An 18,945-nucleotide genomic window follows, 5' to 3' on the forward strand; every position below is an offset into this window, starting at 1 on the left:
CCAACATGGTGAAACCCTGTCTTTATTAAAAATATAAAAATTAGCCGGGCGTGGTGGCGCATGCCTGTAATCCCAGCTACTTGGGAGGCTGAGGCAGGAGAATTGCTTGAGCCCGGGAGGCGGAGGTTGCAGTGAGCCGAGATCGTACCGCTACACTCCAGCCTGGGCAATAGAGTAACACTCTGTCTCGGAAAAAAAAAAAAAAATTAGACAGGCATGCTAATGCGCCTGTGGTTCCAGCTACTTGGGAGGCAGAGGTGAGAGGATCACCTGAGCCCAGGAGGTTGAGGCTGCTGTGAGCCTTGATTGCACCACTGTACTCCAGCCTGAGTGACAGAGAGAGATCTTGAAAAAAAAAAAAATCTAGGCTCTGTAGTATCATCTGCAAAATTTTACTAGCACTTATCTCTGGAACTGTACTTATGTATCTCTCTCCCTCACAAAGCATATGAGCTCCTGGAGGGAGAGGGTTTTGTCTGATTTTTCTCTGTATTACAATGCCTGGTGCATAAGTCATGTCCCATCACTGTTAGTCTGCATGTGTAGATATATGAGTGCAAGAATGGTAAACACCATTCACCATATTTCTGACACTGTTTTGTAACCCAGATATGGCTAGCTTACCTGTAAAATAATCCTGTATGCAGCTGGAATTGTAACCCAACTAATTCAACCATTTTGGAAATGTGAAATAATTCTAGAGAGTAGTCTAATTGGAAATGACAATGAGGCATAAAGATGTGAAGTGGTTTCATGCATAGGATACTTTTTAACATGCAAACCAAACCTCTTTGTAGCTTTTTGTTTCTATCATTCACTAGTCTAATAATATTTGGCTTAGGCTACTATCTTTATTTAATTCAACTGTACATTAAGTTCAGTATTCTTCAGTAACTCCCTTTTCTGAGGTATTGACATTAACATTTTGTTACTAGTTCTGCAATATTTAAGCTCCATATATCACTAATATAAGGATCCAAAAATAAGATAGGCTAGAAAAAAAAGACTCAGTTTTTCCTAGGCAGGCTTCAAGCCTATTTGCAAAATAAGTATGGTACATATATACATGTATATATATGGCCAATAATTTATCCAATAATCCAAATTTTTGTTAGCTGCCTGTATCTATCATATACTGTGGAATCAATGTATTCAATGACCAGGTGAGGTAGTTTACAAAAACCACCACAAGTTCTCCCTTCCACATCCCTGCAATGTGATGTTGCAGTTCTTCCCATCAGAAAGTTGAGTCTATTTCCTGCCCCTGCATTTTAGTTGGCCATGTGACTTGTGAAGCAAATGTACGCAAGCAGTGGCTTTAATTCACCTGTGCTCTGGGTTTACTCTCCTGCTTGCATTTGTATCCCTAAGACCACCATGTGAATAAGCCCGTGCTAGCCTGCTAGAGGAGTGGAAACATGGAGGAGCACCAAGGCTCTTAGCCAGTGGCCACACATAAGGGAAGCCTTCCTGGATCACCTGGCCACCATCTAACCCATTGGTTGGCTCCAGACATGGGGACAAGCCCAGAAGACATCAGCTACCCAGCTGAGCTGCCCAGACTAGAATCATCTGACCACAAAATCACAAGCTAAATATATGATTGTTTAAAGCCATGAAATTTTAGTGGTAGGGGGAATTGTTACTAGCAAAAACTAACTGATTTGGCCAGGCTCAGTGGCTCATGCCTGTAATCCCAGCACTTTTGGGAGGCTGAGGTGAGTGGATCACCTGAGGTCAGGAGTTTGAGGCCAATATGGTGAAACCCCATCCAATATGGTGACAGGGTGAAACCCCTTCTCTACTAAAAATACAAAAATTAGCTGGTCGTGGTGGCATGTGCCTGTAAGTACCAGCTACTCAGGAGGCTGAGACAGGATAATTCCTTAAACCTGGAAAGCAGAGGTTGCAGTGAGCTGAGATTGCACCACTGCACTCCAGCCTGGACATCAGAGTGAGACTCCATCTCAAAAAAAAAAAAAAACCTCCAGCCTGGCCAATATGGTGAAACTCTATCTCTACTAAAAATACAAAAATTAGCTGGTCTTGGTGGCATGCACCTGTAGTCCCAGCTACTCAGGAGGCTGAGACAGGAGAACTGTTTAAACCCGGGAACCAGAGGTTGCAGTGAACTGAGACTGTGCCACTGCACTCCAGCCTGGGCATCAGAGTGAGACTCCATCTCAAAAAAAAAAAAACAAACAAAAACCTCCAGCCTGGCCAATATGGTGAAACCCCGTCTCTACTAAAAATTCAAAAATTAGCTGGGTGTGGTGGCACGCAACTGCAGTCCCAGCTACTCATGAGGCTGAGGCAGAAGAATCGCTTGAACCCGGGAGGCGGAGGTTGCAGTGAGCCGAGATTGTGCCACTGCACTCCAGCCTAGGTGACAGAGCAAGACTCCATCTCAAAAAAAAAAAAAAAAAAAAAAGGCCAGTCGCCTGTAATCCTAGCACTTTGGGAGGCCAAGGTTGGTGGATCACCTGAGGTCAGCAGTTCAAGACCAGCCTGACTAACATGGTAAAACCCCATCTCTACTAAAACTATAAAAATTAGCTGGGTGTGGTGGTGCACACCTGTAGTCCTAGCTACTCGGGAGGCTGAGGCAGGAGAATCACTTGAACCCAGGAGGCGGAGGTTGCAGTGAGCAGAGGTCACACCACTGCACTCCAGCCTGGGCAACAAGAATGAAACTCCATCTCCAAAAAAACCAAACAAACAACAACAGAAAACTGTATATAATATATACATATTTTTGAGACAGCATCTTGCTGTGTCAGCCATGCTGGAGTGCAGTGGCATGATCACAGCTCACTCTCAAGTGATCCTCTTGCCTCAGCCTCCCAAGTAGCTGGGACTACAGGCATGCACCACCAAGCCCGGCTAATTTTTGTGTTTTTTGATAGAGATGGGGTTTTGCCATCTAATTAAAAATAAAAGGAACTGCAGAATATTTTACTGGGGAGAATAAAAAGAAGACTACTCACCTTGCTTACTCAGTATCACTCACAATATGACCCCTGCCTACCTTTCTATGGGTGTTTCTGAAGATTGCTCTTCATATAATCTATCCTCCAGCCAAACTGGGTTTCTCAGATTGCTTTGCATTTTTCTGCTTCCCTCCCCTCCTACCTTTCTCAGATGTGCCCTCTGCCTGGAATATTGCCTTCCAGAAATTAGTACCCTCCCAACTCAGTACACGTGTCTATCAAAACACTAACAGCCCCACCCATCTCACAGGATCCTCTGAATCTTTCTCTCTATTCAGTGACTATGGCTTTGTGCTGCCTTCAAGGCATTACTATTTCATTCTATGCCAAAAATACTCATCCAAAGGCCAATCCTACACACAAGTTCTGGGGGGTCTCTAAACACGCTAAAATCATTGCAAAATCATGTGAGCCCAAGCGCACACACACACGTGTGTGTGTGTGTGTGTGTGTGTGTGTGTACACACTATGTGCATTTTTTGGGGGAAAGAGGACACATATGTTTCCCCAGATTTTCAAATCTTCCACGACCCTAAAAAAGTAATTTAATTCTCATTTGGTCATTTTGTCCTTCCTGCTTCACAGTAACCTCCAGGATTTGTCCAGATCAGTGCCTCCTTAGTGCCTGGAAAAGAGCCTGGCACAAAACAGGCATTAGGTTGTTGAGTTCAACTGGATAGAGTCAACACACATGTTGGTGTTTACCAAGAAGAGAGGGGAAAGTTTTAAAAACAAAGAAGGAAAAGAAAACCCTTCATTCTTTCAAATTAAAGATTGTATCACAACCCAAACAAGAACAAAAGTGAAAGTGAAATTACTGTATTTTTTTTTAAAGCTTTCAGCCCAGCCTACTGGCAAGGCTAAGATTGTGGACCAGGAGGGATCTTTTGCAGTCCTCAGTCTGCCTCTGACTCCCTGGGATCTTGGGTAATAAGTATCTCAAACTCGCTATACCTCATTTCCTATTTATGCAACATGGAAAATAATTCTTGCCCCTTATCTACCAAGTAAGGAGACTGTAAGGAAAACAGATGACACACAAAATGCTTTTTGAACTCTTCATTAGGCAGAGTCTTTACAAATCTTTTCGTCAGAGAGTCTGTGGTTACAAAGGCCCACTCGGCTCTAGTGGTTGTTTTGATGTCCTGCCTTCTTTCAGGTCTAAAATACTTCCAAATGTGCTCAAATTTAGCATTGACATAAGAAAATCTTGGGCTGGAATGCTCTCTGACCACATGCTGGAGCAGCATTTCTCAACAATTTTTAACTCATATTCCCATTTGATAAGCATTAAAAATCTCACTCCTTTTTAAAATTTTGTTTTATGAAAACAAAGGTTGGTTTTTTTCCCCTTTTCAGAGTATATAATTCTATAATAAATACTGCTTGGCAAAAAAATTGGGAATGAACTGTTGATTTGCAACAGCATGAACAAATCTCAAATGCATTATGCCATGTGAAAGAAGCCAGACCAAAGAGAAGAGCACATGGTGTATGATTCCACTCATATAAAATTCTAGAAAGGCGGCCAGGCACAGTGGCTCATGCCTGTAATCCCAGCACTTTGGGAGGCCAAGGCGAGCGGATCACCTAAGGTTGGGAGTTTGAGACCAGCCTGGCCAACATGGTGAAACCCCATCTCTACTAAAAATACAAAAATTAGCCGGGCATGGTGGTGGACACCTGTAATCCCAGCTACTCGAGAGGCTGAGGCAGGAGAATCGCTTGAACCTGGGAGGCAGACATTGCAGTGAGCCGAGATCATGCCATTGCACTCCAGCCTGGGAGACAGAGTGAGACTCCGTGTCCAAAAAAAAAATTTCCTTTTTCAAACTATACCCCTCTCCACCCTGTCCCCATAAACATTGTTCTGAACAGTGAGCACACTGACCACCTAGGAGGTCCCTCATTCATTCTTGAGCCCCCAAGACTTAGCACAGTAAGCAAGCTCTGACTGTCAGTACCCGCCTTCCACATAGGCCATTTCCTGCCCTAAGATCTGTTCTGTTCTCTCCTGGGAATGACCTTTTCCTGCTTCTGTTTCTTCTTCATTCCAGATGCAGCTCAGGAATCTTCTCCATCAGCCTTCCCTGAATCTCTGCTCAAGCCTGTGCTCCACAGCTCCTGAGCATGTTTCTAGCTGCCACTCACCACTTTGTACTGATTTTATCTGTTGAAGCTTCTAGCCTTCCTCATGAGATAGTAAACAGAAAGGGGTTCTTAACCTTTTTTTGTGCCTCCTAAAGCCTTCTCAAAATATGGTAAAATAGACATAGGCATATGCAGAAAACTAATTATGAAATACAGTTATCAAACTATTCAAACATTTATTGGCTGTCATACCATATGTGCCTTGTTATTGATCTAGTGGTAAATCAAATGACTACCATTATTTCAAAGTAGTGATATGTATAAATGGGAATAGCTGTCACTCCTGTGGCTTGTCATTACCATTGATAACTGAAGGAAATACTGTATTGCAGTTAGAGGGTGATAAAACTGTAATCTTTTCCTATAAAAGTTCACAGGGCCCCTGAATTCCACCCAAGGACAAGGAGCCACAGGGCCCTAGAAAGGTTTTTAGAGGGGCTGTGTCCTCTTTATCTTTGGGTTCTCAATGCCCTCAGCACACAGCAGGGAACTTAATATCTCAGCTATAAAACAAGGTAAGAACAATAACAATATTAAGTATAAATTCAAAAAACTAAGATAGTTTTTCCTGCTAATACTTGTTACTATTACTACTAGTATGCTTACACCAAAGTGTGTCCTGGAAAATGGTTTACCGACTGCCAAAGACCTTGAAAATACATTTACCTGGAACCATAGCATTCCCTGGCCACCTCATAACATTCTTCAGTTCTTCAAAGTATTAGCATAAAACCATGGAAAGAAATATATAAAGATCAGGGGGATTTAGAGGAGGAAGTCAATTCCCTTAATGTGACCTCACCATGTACAATGTGACCTTCAAATGGAGCATGTAGCTCTCTAAATCCTTGAGAAATGGATGAAATTCCCTTTGCTCAGTCTTTTTCTTCTCATTGCAGTGGTGAATAACGCAAGATGTCTCATGCTAACCACGGCCCTCTCTTGATATTACTAAATACTTCCTTTCTTCTCTATTTGTTGTTGCAGTTATTGTTGAGAGCATTTCATAACAGTGTGAAAACAATGAAATGAGTTCAAGTAAACTGAAGTAACAATGAAGCACCTACAGAGAAAAAAAAGTCCTGTTCACAGTGAGCTTTCACATGACCTTCTTTTTTATTTTAATTGAGACAGGGTCTCTGTCGCCCAGGCTGGAGTGCAGTGGTGCAACCATGGCTCACACAGCCTCAACCTCCTGAGCTCAGGTGATTCTCCCAACTCAGCCTCCAGAGCAGCTGGGACTACAGGTGCGTGCCAACACACCCAGCTTTTCTGTATTTTTTGTAGAGATGGAGTTTCGCCATGTTGCACAGGCTGGTCTCAAACTCCTGCGCTCGAGTGATCCGCCCGCATTGGCCTCCCAAAATGTTGGGATTACATGCATGAGCCATCACGCCTGGCCAACCTTCTTTAGTCTTAACAGTACACATTGAACCACCCACTCCTGGGTCCGGGTGGTGTGTGCGAGCCCAGGTCTGTCTCCATTCTGCTGGCAGTATGGAAAAGGCTACTCCTCTGCCTACTACATCACACCCATTTCCTTGGTATTTGAGGTGAATTGGTTCCTTCCAGCATAATTCTAAAGAACTAAGGTGAGAAAAAAAAATACCGTAAAATCTTTTTTACTCCTACCCAAGAAATTCGGGAGCCACTCTTTTTTTTTTTTTTTTTTTTTTTTTTTTGAGACGGAGTCTCACTCTGTAGCCCAGGCTGGAATGCACTGGCGCGATCTCGGCTCACTACAAGCTCCGCCTCCCGGGTTCACTCCATTCTCCTGCCTCAGCCTCCCGAGTAGCTGGGACAACAGGCGCCCGCCACCATACCCGGCTAATTTTTTGTATTTTTAGTAGAGACGGGGTTTCACCATGTTAGCCAGGATGGTTTCGATCTTCTGACCTTGTGATCCGCCCGCCTCGGCCTCCCAAAGTGCTGGGATTACAGGCGTGAGCCACCGCGCCTGGCCCTGGGAGCCACTCTTACCCTAAATCAGTCACTTAACCCAAATTCAAAAGAATGTTGAGCTAGCCTGTTGGTCCATCCACACCCCCATCCCTGTTGTAGCACTAAACATTGGCAACATTGGAAATGAGCTCTGTAGAAACAAGCGGTTTTGGAAACTGAGTATCAAGATAGTGGCTCACTGCCTAGATAAGAGTTTGTAAAATTCCCGAGAAGTACTGAATAAAATTCCTAGCTCACCAGAAGAGAAAGGCCACAATTCTGAAGTAAGGGGGATGGCATCCCCTCTGGCTTCCCAGGGGTCACAGCCAAGGCTAGCTGATTTGCAGAACATTTTGCATACAACAGAAATGAGCATCCCTCCTCTCTCTCACTCACCAGCTTTTTACCTTTGGTTTATGTTCAAATCAATCTCGTTTTCAAAGTAGTAACAACTACCTTTACACCACTTCTCCCAAAAGTTACCAAACTACTGCCGTATTATTTCTGTTCTAACTTCTCAAGAAAGTAGTTCACAGTTGATGTCTTCACTTCCTCCCTCTGATTCTCGCCTCTAACCTCTCTGAACTCCTGTTCCCAGCCATCAGTCTCTGTGCTGGACTGCAATTAATTCACTGAAATGGGTGGTGCCAAAGTCAAAGACTTCATAATTGCCAATCACAGATGATTTTGAGTCCTGAGCTTCCACAATCCTGAGGGATGCTTGACACTACCCTCCAGCTGTAAACAGTCCTTCTGTGGTTCTAGTCCTACTTCTCCATTTCTCCTGCATTTTCTTTAGATGCTAGTATTCCTAATTTTCTCTCTTTCCTTTTTGTTTTTGTTTTGTTTTTGTTGTTTTTAAATGAGACTAGGTCAAAGTGATCCTCCTGCCTCAGCTCCTGCATACCTGAGACTACAGGTACACACCACCATGCCCAGCTAATTTTTGGATTTTTTGTAGAGACAGGGTTTTGCCACATCGGCTAGTCTGAAATTTTCCTTCTTTAGTCCTCTTTTCTCATTTAATCTAGCCATTCTCTTTAAGAGATTTAATTCTCTGGGCTTCAGGCTTTTTTGCTTAAGAATCTCCTAAAATAAAAACTACAGGGCTGCGCACGGTGGCTCACGCTTGTAATCCCAGCACTTTGGGAGGCCGAGGCAGGCGGTTTTGTGGCAGTAGGCCTGTGGTCCCAGACACCCAGGAGGCTGAGGTGGGAGAATCGCTTGAACCCAGGAGGTGGAGGCTGCAGTGAGCCGGGATCACACCACTACTCTCCAGCCTGAGTGACAGAGCGAGATCCTGTCTCAAAAAAACAAAACAAAACAGAAAACCCCACAAAAACAAAACTACATATTCCTATGCAATTTCTTTTTGTTTGTTTGTTTGTTTTGAGACAGAGTGTCCCCCTGTCACCAGGCTGGAGTGCAGTGGCGCGATCTTGGCTCATGCAACCTCCACTTCCCGGGTTCAAGCGATTCCCCTGCCTCGGCCTTCCGAGTAGCTGGGACTACAGGTGTGCACCACCACGCTCGACTAATTTTTTGTATTTTAGTAGAGACAGGGTTTCACCTTGTTGGCAAGACTGGTCTTGATCTCCTGACCTCATGATCTGCCCACCTGGGCCACCCAAAGTGCTGGGATTACAGGCGTGAGCCCGGCCCTCCTATGCAATTTCTGATTTGACATCCAAATTATTTATTTATTTATTTTATTATTTATTTACTTGACGGGGCTCACTCTTCATCCAAGCTAGAGTGCAGTGGGGCGATTATGGCTCACTGTAGTCTCAAACTTCTGAACTCAAGCAATCCAACTGCCTCAGCCTCCCAAGTAGCTATAATCCCAAATTTAAATGGTTGCAATGAATTGATAGTGTTTTGTAAATGTACAAGATCTTCTTTTATAGTCAGAATATTGTATCATTCTTATATCTGCTTTAACTTCTGTTTTCATTCACTTACTCCACAGAATTCTGGTGGGGGAGGAGGTTGGGGGAGACCAGGTCTTGTTTTGTTGCTCAGGCTGGAGTGCAGTGGTGCAATGGTAGCTCACGTGGCTTCAAACTCCTGGGCTCAAAAGATTCTCTGCCTCAGACTCTCAGGTAGCTGAGGCTACAGGTATGGGCCACCACATCCAGCTAACTTTTTACTTTTTCTTTTGTAGAGACTGGGTTCTCACTATGTTGCCCAAGCTTGTTTTGAACTCCTGGCCTCAAGTGATCCTCCTGCCTCGGCCTCCCAAACTGCTGGGATTAGGCTGGGTATGGTGGCTCACACCTGTAATCCCAGCACTTTGGGAGGCCGAGGCAGGCGGATCACGAGGTCAAGAGATCGAGACCATCCTGGCTAACACAGTGAAACCCCGTCTCTACTAAAAATACAAAAAATTAGCCAGGCATGGTGGCGCACTTCTGTAGTCCCAGCTACTTGGGAGGCTGAGGCAGGAGAATCGCTTGAACCCGGGAGGCGGAGGTTGCAGTAAGCCGGGATCACGCCACTGCACTCCAGCCTGTGCGACAAAACGGGACTCCATCTCAAAAAAAAAAAAAAGTGCTGGGATTACAGGCATAAGCCACTGTGCCCAACCTCCCACAGATATTTTAACAGCCTTATTGAGATATAAAACACATACTGGCTGTGCACAGTGTCTCATGCCTGTAATCTCAGCACTGTGGGAGGCTGAGGTGGGTGGATCATGAGGTCAGGAGTTCGAGACCAGTCTGGCCAGCATGATGAAACCCCATCTCTACTAAAAATACAAAACATTAGCCAGGCATGGTGGTGTGCACCTGTTATCCCAGCTACTGGGGAGGCTGAGGCAGGAGAATCACTTGAACCCAGGAGACAGAGGTTGCAGTGAGCTGAGACTGCGCCACTGCACTCCAACCTGGGTGATAGAGTGAGACTCTGTCTCAAAAACAAGACAAAACAAAACAAAACATATACCATATAATTTATCCATTTAAAGAATGCAACTTAATGGTTTTCAGCATATTTACAGCTGCAATCGTTGGTACAATCAGCCTTAAGACATCTTCATCACCCCAAAAATAAACCTAGTACCCATTAGCACTCATTCCTCATTGTCCCCTCCCCTACTACAGCCCTAAACAACCACTGATCTACTTTCTGTCTCCATAAATTTGCCTATTCTGAACATTTCATACAAATGGAATCATATAATATGTAATCTTTTGTGACTGGCTTCTTTTACTTAGCATAATATTTCAAGGTTCATCCATGTTGTGGAATGAATCAGTACTCATTCCTTTTACTGTCCAATAATATTCAATTGTATGGATATGCCACATTTTGTTTATCCATTCATCAGCTGGTGGACATTTGAATTGTTTCCACTTTTTGGTTATTATGAATAAGGCTGCTACAAACATTTGGATGCAAGTTTTTGTTTTACCCACCAATTATAAATGAAATTTGTTTTTATGCTTCAAAAGCTTTTATTGGCCAGGGACAGTGGCCCATGCCTGTAATCTCAGCACTTTGGGAAACTGAGGCCAGCGGATGACCTGAGGTCAGGAGTTCAAGACCAGCCTGGCCAACATGGGAAAACCCCATCTCTACTAAAAATACAAAAATTAGCTGGGCATGGTGGCGAGCATCTGTAATCCCAGCTACTCGGGAAGCTGAGGCACAAGAATCGCTTGAACCTGGAAGTTGGAGGTTGCAGTGAGCTGAGATCACGCTGCTGTACTCCAGCCTGGATGACAGAGTGAGACTCTGTCTCAAAAAAAAACCAAACAAACAAACAAACAAAAACCTTTTATTAATAACCCATTCATAGATCTCATCCACAAAACTATGGACATAAATTAAGATTTAAAATAGAAAAAAAAAATTGTGACCATAATCCTCTAGGTAGACAAAGAAAAATTCCTCTGGATTAAGTAGTAGTAAATTCCAGTTATTCATAGTACACAATTAATCAAAACATCATAAGTATATTATAAACTTTGACAATCATTCAATATAAAGTTTTATTGGAAATACATTCTTTAATGAGATTAATGCGATGAACTGGGTTTATTTTCCTATTATTAGTTAATGGGTTTGTGGATGACTTATTATTATAATGAAACCATTGGTATAATTATATCACTACTGTTCTTTTTATAGATACAATAACTGAGAAATTATTTTTAAATAAATAAAAGAATGGAAGTATTTTAGCTACAGCAATGTCACTCAAATCTTTGAAATCCTTGAAAGTCATAGCCCCAAATCACGTTGTAATCTATCCTTATGTTCAGCCAGGCACAGTGGTGTGCAACTGTAATCCCACACCCTTTGAGGCTGAGGTGGGAGGACCACTTGAAGTTCCAGGCTGTAGTGTACTATGATCACACCTGTGAACAGCCACTGCACTCCAGCCTGGGCAACATGGTAAGACCCTATCTCTAAAGAGTGTGTGTGTCTGTGTGTGTGTGTGTGTGTGTGTGTGTGTGTGTGTTTAGGTCTCCCTTCAAGTATGTTGAAAGCGAACAGCCAGACTCATCTGACTTGTAAAAGGAAGTGTCACTGGCCCTGAGTCATTCACATTCTCCTACATGCATTATATTTGAAATTGGACCTAGGTTTGGGTCCCGGAGGTTTTTTTTTACCTTCCCAAACACACCATAGGAAGATGATGGAAGTGCAAGAGGTGTGCATTTTCCCTGTTCTCTAAGGGATCCATTTGAGAAAAGTGTGTATATATGGACAGTGAATATCTGAAAATTGCTTCCCTCCCTCAGAACCACTGATTCTATTTGCAGCCACGTGACTCTCAAATCTAGCTCATCTCTTACTAAGACCCTGACCCTGCAGCCTGAAGCACACTGCTTCATCAGCCCTCAGGCCCCTCAATAGGTCTCACATTGAGCTAATCTTCCCCAAATAGATCTCCCTTACTAGCAGGCACCCTCATGCACTCTGTTCACCACACTGCTGCCAGATCAACATCCTACACAAGCAAATCCTGTCAAGTTGCTCCTCCACTTGAACTCCTTCACTGGTGCCCAGAATCTACCTTAACCCTTTGCAGGTAAAGCACCTCATCTGAGAAACAGTGAAGTCAGGTCCTCTATGGGGAAATGACACATGCTCTCAGGCTGACCCTCTGAGACCTGGTTAAGAAGTGCCAGACCTCAAGGAGACAGGACAGGTTAGTGGTTAAAAGGATGGACTCTGGAATGGAACTACCTGGGTTAAAGGCAGTTTACTCACTGATAACTTTGACCCCCTGAGCCCATTTCTTCATCTGCAGAGGATAATACTACTATCTTTCTTAAAGGGTAGGTGTAAAGATTAAGTGAGATAATGTATGTAATTTGCTTAGCACAGTGCTTGACACATGCTAGAATAATAAGTTAGAATAATACGTCAATGAGTCTTAGCTGCCATCAACTTCCTCATAATTATCAAGAAATTAACTCCCAAAGTCTTCCATTGAAGGTCCAAGTCCCTTACATGTCAAAGAAGCCCATCTTGCAGCCTCTACTCTACTCTTCCCCATACCACACCACTTACTATCTTCCCCGTCCCTCTCCCAGATCAGGCTTTTGTACCTCTGAGTCTGGGTACCCACCCTTCCCCTCACCTAGAATTCTTTCCCTACTCTCTGCCTGGTGAATGCCATCTTCAAGACAGCCTCATTTGTTGCTCCATTTCAAGTCCCCTCTGGGGCTCCCTCCTCTTTTTCTAGAACTCTCAGTTATTGTAGCACCTCAAAGCTCAGTCTGCTGATCCCTTCTCTTCTCTGTCAGTACTCCCTTTATGATCTCTTTGTCTCTGGGCTTTAAATATTTATATACTGGTAATTTCTAAAAGCGTATCACCAGACCAGACCCCTTTCTCTCCTCCATTTGATCTCCACTTGGATATCAAGTGGACATCTCACACTCAACATGGGCAAAAATGAACCCTTGGTGTTCCCCCCAAATCTGTTTCCTCTGCATATCCTTGCCACCCCAGGTATTGGCAATGCCATCCTTCCAGTTGCTCATGCCATAAGCCCTGGAATAAATCCTCACGTTCTCTTTTCCACTCACATTCCATATCCAACCCAGGGATAAATCCTGTTGGTTTTACCTTCAACATAGATCCAGAATCTGCCCACTTCTCACCCTCATACTGTTATGAACCCTGGTCAGACCCATCATCATCTCTTGTCTGGATTACTCAATGGCTCCTAACTGGTCTTTCTGCTTCAAACCCAGTCTATTCTGAATATAGCAATCAGAGCAATCGTTTTAGATTTTTGTTGTTGCTGTTGTTTTTGAGACAGGGTCTTGCTCTGTTGCCCAGGCTGGAGTACAGTGGCATGATCATGACTCAGTGCACCCTCAACTTCCCAGGCTCAAGTGATCCTCCCACCTCAGCCTCCTGAGTAGCTGGGACTACAGGTACGCAACCAGCATACCCAGCTTTATTTCTTTTTTAGTGGAGATGAGGTCAGGCTATGTTGTCCAGGCTGGTCTCAAACTCCTGGCCTCAAGTGATCCTCCTGCCTCGGCCTCCCAGAGTGCTGGGATTACAGGCATGAGCCATTGCACCTGGCTTAGAGCCATCTTTTTAAACTCTCAGTCACATGTCCTCCTCTGCTCAGAACTTTGCAATGGCTCCATGTTCCTCTCATAGTTAAAACTCAGAGTCCTTAAAATGATGCTGGCCAGTCTGACTCTCTTACTCCCCGACCTCACTTTCAACTACTTTACCCCTCACTCACTCTGTTTCAGCCACACTTACTTCCTTGCTGTTCCTACATCTTGCCAGAAGGCAATTTCCTGTTTCTCCTTAGTTGTTTCCTCTGCTTGGAAATCTCTTCTATTGAGATTCCCACATGGCTAACTCACTCAGCAACTTCAAATCTTTGTTCAAATGTCACCTTCTCAATGAAAACTGCCCTGACCTGAGCTAGATCTCAGACACAGGCACCTGACCCCACTCATCTACGTGTTCTCCCAGGAGGCTCGGCCTCTGAACTAGTTCTTCCTGGGCCTCTGAAAAAACCCTCCTTGCTGAGTGCCTTCTCTGACCCCATATTAGGCCCTGAGAAAAGGAACCATTCTAATGTTGTAGGGCTCAAATCAATTGTTCCAGATCCCAAGGCTTGTAAACAATTGAGACTGAAACCATGCCTGCTAGAAGCCTGTGCTGTCCCACTGTGCTGCTTGCTGGAGAGCTTCCATGCCCTTGTCCTGCCCAACACAGGCCATTGTTCTACCCGTAGTAACGAGCCCAATTCCATGTCTAATCAGGGAGTAGAATGATGAAAAGCAGTTAGTTTAGAATTTTGGGTTGTTGGGTTTTGTGGGTTTTCTTTCTTTCTTTTTTTTTAATTATCAAGTCATTATATTATGTCCATCAGTCAAAATTGAAAAAAAACACAAAGGATTTTTAATACACTTCATGTTTTCATCTGTGGATGTTAATTACAGAATAGCTGACAGCAGAAGAGTATTTTAGGTTAGAATCTTTCTCTGAGTCTCACTGGGCTCCCGGGTGATTATTTGCAGCCCTTCTGTCCCTTCTTCCAGGCCTTCCCTTTATCCCACCCCACCCCATCTCACCTCTGCGCCCTCTTAATTGTTCACGGAGAGAAAGCAAGAACACCAACCAACTGATGACATTCTTTCTGTACTTAGTGTTACTTGCCAGTGAGTAGTCATTTTTGTGAGCTGGGAGACATTCTCCACCATGGCTAATTACCAGGGAGTTCGAGTCATTCTGCCTGGGTTCAAATACCCCCTCTGCCACTAATGCTGTGGGAATGATTTGGCCTCTTTAAGGTATTGAAAATTAGCGTTCCTTCTGTATAGGGGGCTGTATAGTGAGCGAATTCAATTAAAGACCAGAGCCAGCCTCTGGCATAGAGGAAGTGAGCACTCAGAGTACAGTAGCTGTTGCTATTGATATTTCACAGGCTCTGATGCAGAGAAGCTTGTCCCCAGTGCTCCATCCACGAAGGGAGCAAGTTGCTCCCCATTCATGACTCAAAACACCCTGGAGGAAGATTATGTTTACTGGTTCTATAGTAAACTTCCACCTTGTGAAATGACTTCGGATGTTTGTTAATACTGGTAAGCTTTCCGACTTCCCTGTGAGTGGAGTGTTGGCATTCTCTTTAGCCCCAAATACTTACTTTAAAGAAAACCACTCTTATGTTACAAAAATACAATAGCAATTCTAAATAGAAGTTATTCCTACTTCAATCTTTATCTATAACCCTCATTTCCAGTGAGTTCTATAAACTTTCTTTCTGATTCTAAGGAAACTGTAGCTTCCTGCCACTTCCTCTATTAATACAGTTGTAGTAACATCTCCTCACTGTCTATTCAACTACATGATCAAAATAGGAAAACGGACTCCCTAAAAGTTGAACTTAAATTAGACATTAACTCTCAATATCTGGTTCATGATTGTATTTTTTTGTTATTAATTCTTTAAAATTAATTCAAGAATCTTAATTATGCAAAGCTTCAGTATAATAGCAAAGACTATTTTCTCCTTTTATTAAACATTGCAAGGCAACTGCTTTACCATTTATATTCATTTTCACTTTCTAGGAACACAAATAAATATTTAGAGAATTTCACACACAAAAAAGTCATCAATCAGAAAGAGGACTTAGCAGACTATTAGAAAAAAAAAAAAGGTTGTTTTAAGTATATGTAAGTTACTATGTATCTATGTACACAGTAACTTTCTCCTTTCCAGTCTTCCTATTTGTATTCAAATATTCAAATAACATACCAGCTAGCTGCTAATGGTGTGATTTTCTGCAGTACTTTTCCTGGATGCAAAATGTTTGACCCTGCAAAGACAAGGTGACTCAGCACATTCAAATTACAGAGCTCAGGTTTAGAGGATACACACATTGCAAGAACTGCTGAGAAGATATTAGGAGAGAATTTTTGTTAAGGTTTGAAAGGTCAAAGAATTTAAATGTATGCCCCTCTAGCCCTACCCCCACCCTGCCCCAAAAAAGGAAAAGTACGGACTGGAGAAATGAGAAATAAGATTGTGGTAAAAAACAATTCCATCTGATTGCTAAAAAGATTGTTGTACTTAACTATATTAGCATTTAAATGGCCCTGGTAGGACATGGAGGAAATACCTACACGCTAATGCAAAAAAGGTAGGGAAGCTGTCAGGTTTGCACCTTTTTTGTCTCATTGTTTAAGTGGAGCCAGTTTTTTTCCCAGGCTGGATAAACAGACTGCAGTGAAGGTGAAACAGACATTGAGAAAGCTAATATTGCTTACAAAAAAGCAAATAAAAATTTTTAATTACAAACACTGTAAAGCTGAGAAATTGAGAATGTTAATTACTATATGCTTTTCTACTGGTGTGTTTGGGAACTAGTGATTCCCAAACCTTGCAGACTATCAAAACCACAAGGGGAGGTTTTCATAAATGTAGATTTACAGTTCCCTTCCTGTCCCCATTCTGATTCAGTGGGTTTGGGGTAGAGCCCAGGAGTCTGTAAAACACTCATCCAAGTGATTCCGACACACAGGCTAGGCTGGGATCAGACACAGCTGATGAAATGCAAAGGTGAGGCAAAACAAACCGGGAGTCACATCTCTCCCAGCCCAACTGTAAAATGCATAGGTAAAATGTCAAAGAGTACTTTAACATTTAGGAGGATGTCTCTTCATATGTTAAAGCTAACAAATGAGGCCAGGCGCAGTGGCTCAAGCCTGTAATCCCAGCACTTTGGGAGGTCGAGGTGGGTGGATCACTTGAGGTCAGGAGTTCAAGACCAGCCTGAACAACACGGTGAACCCCAGTCTCTACTAAAAATACAAAAATTAGCCGGGCATGATGGCGGGTGCCTGTAATCCCAGCTACTCAAGAAGGCTGAGGAGGGAGAATCGCTTAAACCCGGGAGGCAGAGGCTGTAATGAGCTGAGATGGCGCCACTTCACTCCAGCCTGGGTAAAAGAGCAAGACTCTGTATCAAAAAAAAAAAAAAAAAAAGCTGACAAATATTAGTCATATTTTTAATTGTCTTACCTTTTAAAATTCCCAACAATATCCTAACTTTTAAAAGTTATTCTAGAACATGACCTTGCCTTCTAGTTCCTGTTTATAGTGATGAGCTACACATATCTTTGTGCCTGAAACAAAGACTTCTTTGCCAGACTCTGTGCCTGCTAATTTCCTTCAATTCATTCACAGAGTCTTCACTGCAACTCCCGTAAGTAGCTACTATTATCCCCATTTTACAGATGAAGAAGTGTGTCTATGAGAATTGTTCTAGTGATAAACCTGAGACTTAAACAGAGTCCTAATACTCATGCTGGATTGTCCATTGTTATAAAGAGCTGGGTTTGTTGGTTGGTTATTTGGAGAAATTTACACATGACATTTGGTTATGTTCAAAAGAATCTCAGGCCTGGCATAGTCTTCATACATTCAGCAAACAACAGTTAGGCATCGTGTCAGGTGTGGGCAAATACAAGGACCACCCACAGCTCTCTACCCTGGAAGTACCTTCCCCACCCCTCTACAGGGTAGCAGACAGACAAAGAGGAATCATCTCCAAGAGATACAAGGGCCACCCACAGCTCTCTACCCTGGAAGTACCTTCCCCACCCCTCTACAGGGTAGCAGACAGATAAAGAGGAATCATCTCCAAGAGTTTCTTCTGGACTTTGCTCTATTAACTGTCCCATTGCCTTCAGGGGCACATGCGTAACTGTCTGAACTGAAACATTTCCACTGCTGATTCAGAAATGTGTTCACCCTAATTATGGGCACAGAATGCTCTGAGGAACACAGGTGGGAGGGGCTGTCTCGGGCCCTCTGGATGCCTTCACAGAGAATATGGCTTATGAGCTGAAGGTTGAAGGATGAAAAATATGTCACAAAGCAAAGTGAAAGGGCCCAGGGCAGCATGTGCTGGGCCTGCCATGTCCAGCAGGGGACCCTGGGGCTGAAGTAAGGCCAGAGGTAGGAGCAACAGGGGGAATGGGGCAGGTGGGGAAGTGGGTTGTAGGCTGGGAAAAGACCCAGAAGGGGATTTTATGCTATGTGAGGAGTTTAGAATTCAAAAGATGCAAAAGGGAACAAACAATGGGGGGTTTTTTGTGTTTGTTTTTGTTATTTGGGTTTTGTTTGTTTTTCTGTTTGTTTTTGGCTAAAGAAGGAACAAAGATATCTGTAACTGGTTGTGATCAATTAGTTGTAAACACTGTTGCACTTGACCAGCCCCAGCCGTGGTTTTTATGCAGAGGAGTCATAGGACCAGATTGGTATTTTAGTAATGCTCGTGCCAGGGTAGAGAATGGGTTGCACAGAAGGCACAGGGCTTGACAGATCAGATCAAAGGCTGTTGCAACAATCCAGGTTGGATCCAGTCCAAACTAATGGTGTGATCCTGCCATTAAAAAAAAGGAACTCACTGGAGAAGTTTCTGAGGTTCGGGGCATGAGCTTTGGAGTCAGGTGGGCTGAATGCTGGTTCTCAACCTCTTCTTAGCCATGTCTGTAACGTCATCAAAACCTCACCTTGCTTATTTCATATGAGATGAAATCTGCTGTCTGGGTCATTTTGCAAATGAAATTGGGGTTCATGCTCAACTGCACAAGGTTCTCACTCCATCAGTGGTGACAGTGATGATGATGATGATGATGATAATGACAGACAATACTTTGGTGACTGATTGGCTTTAGGCTGAGGGTAAGTGACAGAAGAGTACAGGATACCTCCAAGGTTTCTAATTGGGTGAGTGAAGGCACACATTGTCAACCGGGCTGGGGGCACAGAAAGAGGACCTGGTTTAGAAAAAAAAAAAAAAAAGTAGTGCATTTGGTTTTGAACATGTTGTGCTAAGGACACCTACCAGAATTTGTTTTAT

The 18,945-nt window shown here is 43.3% G+C and overlaps 1 long non-coding RNA gene across 1 annotated transcript in view, besides 6 other annotated features; it reads right to left on the minus strand.

The window, feature by feature from the left end:
• The window catches only part of LINC00862 (long intergenic non-protein coding RNA 862), a 31,249-nt gene that overhangs the window by 5,825 nt on the left and 6,479 nt on the right, over positions 1 to 18,945 (minus strand). The window lies entirely within an intron of this gene.
• Positions 4,206 to 4,706: an enhancer, noted in NCBI's record as "H3K27ac hESC enhancer chr1:200321702-200322202 (GRCh37/hg19 assembly coordinates)". NCBI's record gives its function as "activates a minimal SCP1, AML or CMV promoter by ChIP-STARR-seq in primed H9 embryonic stem cells {active_cell/tissue: H9 hESC(primed)}" and the evidence as "EXISTENCE:reporter gene assay evidence [ECO:0000049][PMID:30033119]".
• Positions 4,707 to 5,207: an enhancer, noted in NCBI's record as "H3K27ac hESC enhancer chr1:200322203-200322703 (GRCh37/hg19 assembly coordinates)". NCBI's record gives its function as "activates a minimal SCP1, AML or CMV promoter by ChIP-STARR-seq in primed H9 embryonic stem cells {active_cell/tissue: H9 hESC(primed)}" and the evidence as "EXISTENCE:reporter gene assay evidence [ECO:0000049][PMID:30033119]".
• Positions 7,017 to 7,516: an enhancer, noted in NCBI's record as "H3K4me1 hESC enhancer chr1:200324513-200325012 (GRCh37/hg19 assembly coordinates)". NCBI's record gives its function as "activates a minimal SCP1, AML or CMV promoter by ChIP-STARR-seq in naive H9 embryonic stem cells {active_cell/tissue: H9 hESC(naive)}" and the evidence as "EXISTENCE:reporter gene assay evidence [ECO:0000049][PMID:30033119]".
• Positions 15,793 to 16,087: an enhancer, noted in NCBI's record as "tiled region #7059; HepG2 Activating non-DNase unmatched - State 6:EnhF". NCBI's record gives its function as "activates a minimal TATA promoter and a strong SV40 promoter by Sharpr-MPRA in HepG2 cells {active_cell/tissue: HepG2}" and the evidence as "EXISTENCE:reporter gene assay evidence [ECO:0000049][PMID:27701403]".
• Positions 15,793 to 16,107: a biological region, named in NCBI's record as "Sharpr-MPRA regulatory regions 7059 and 708".
• Positions 15,813 to 16,107: an enhancer, noted in NCBI's record as "tiled region #708; HepG2 Activating non-DNase unmatched - State 6:EnhF". NCBI's record gives its function as "activates a minimal TATA promoter and a strong SV40 promoter by Sharpr-MPRA in HepG2 cells {active_cell/tissue: HepG2}" and the evidence as "EXISTENCE:reporter gene assay evidence [ECO:0000049][PMID:27701403]".

Source organism: Homo sapiens, chromosome 1 (genome assembly GCF_000001405.40).
Source record: "Homo sapiens chromosome 1, GRCh38.p14 Primary Assembly".
Classification (NCBI taxonomy): Eukaryota; Metazoa; Chordata; class Mammalia; order Primates; family Hominidae; genus Homo; species Homo sapiens.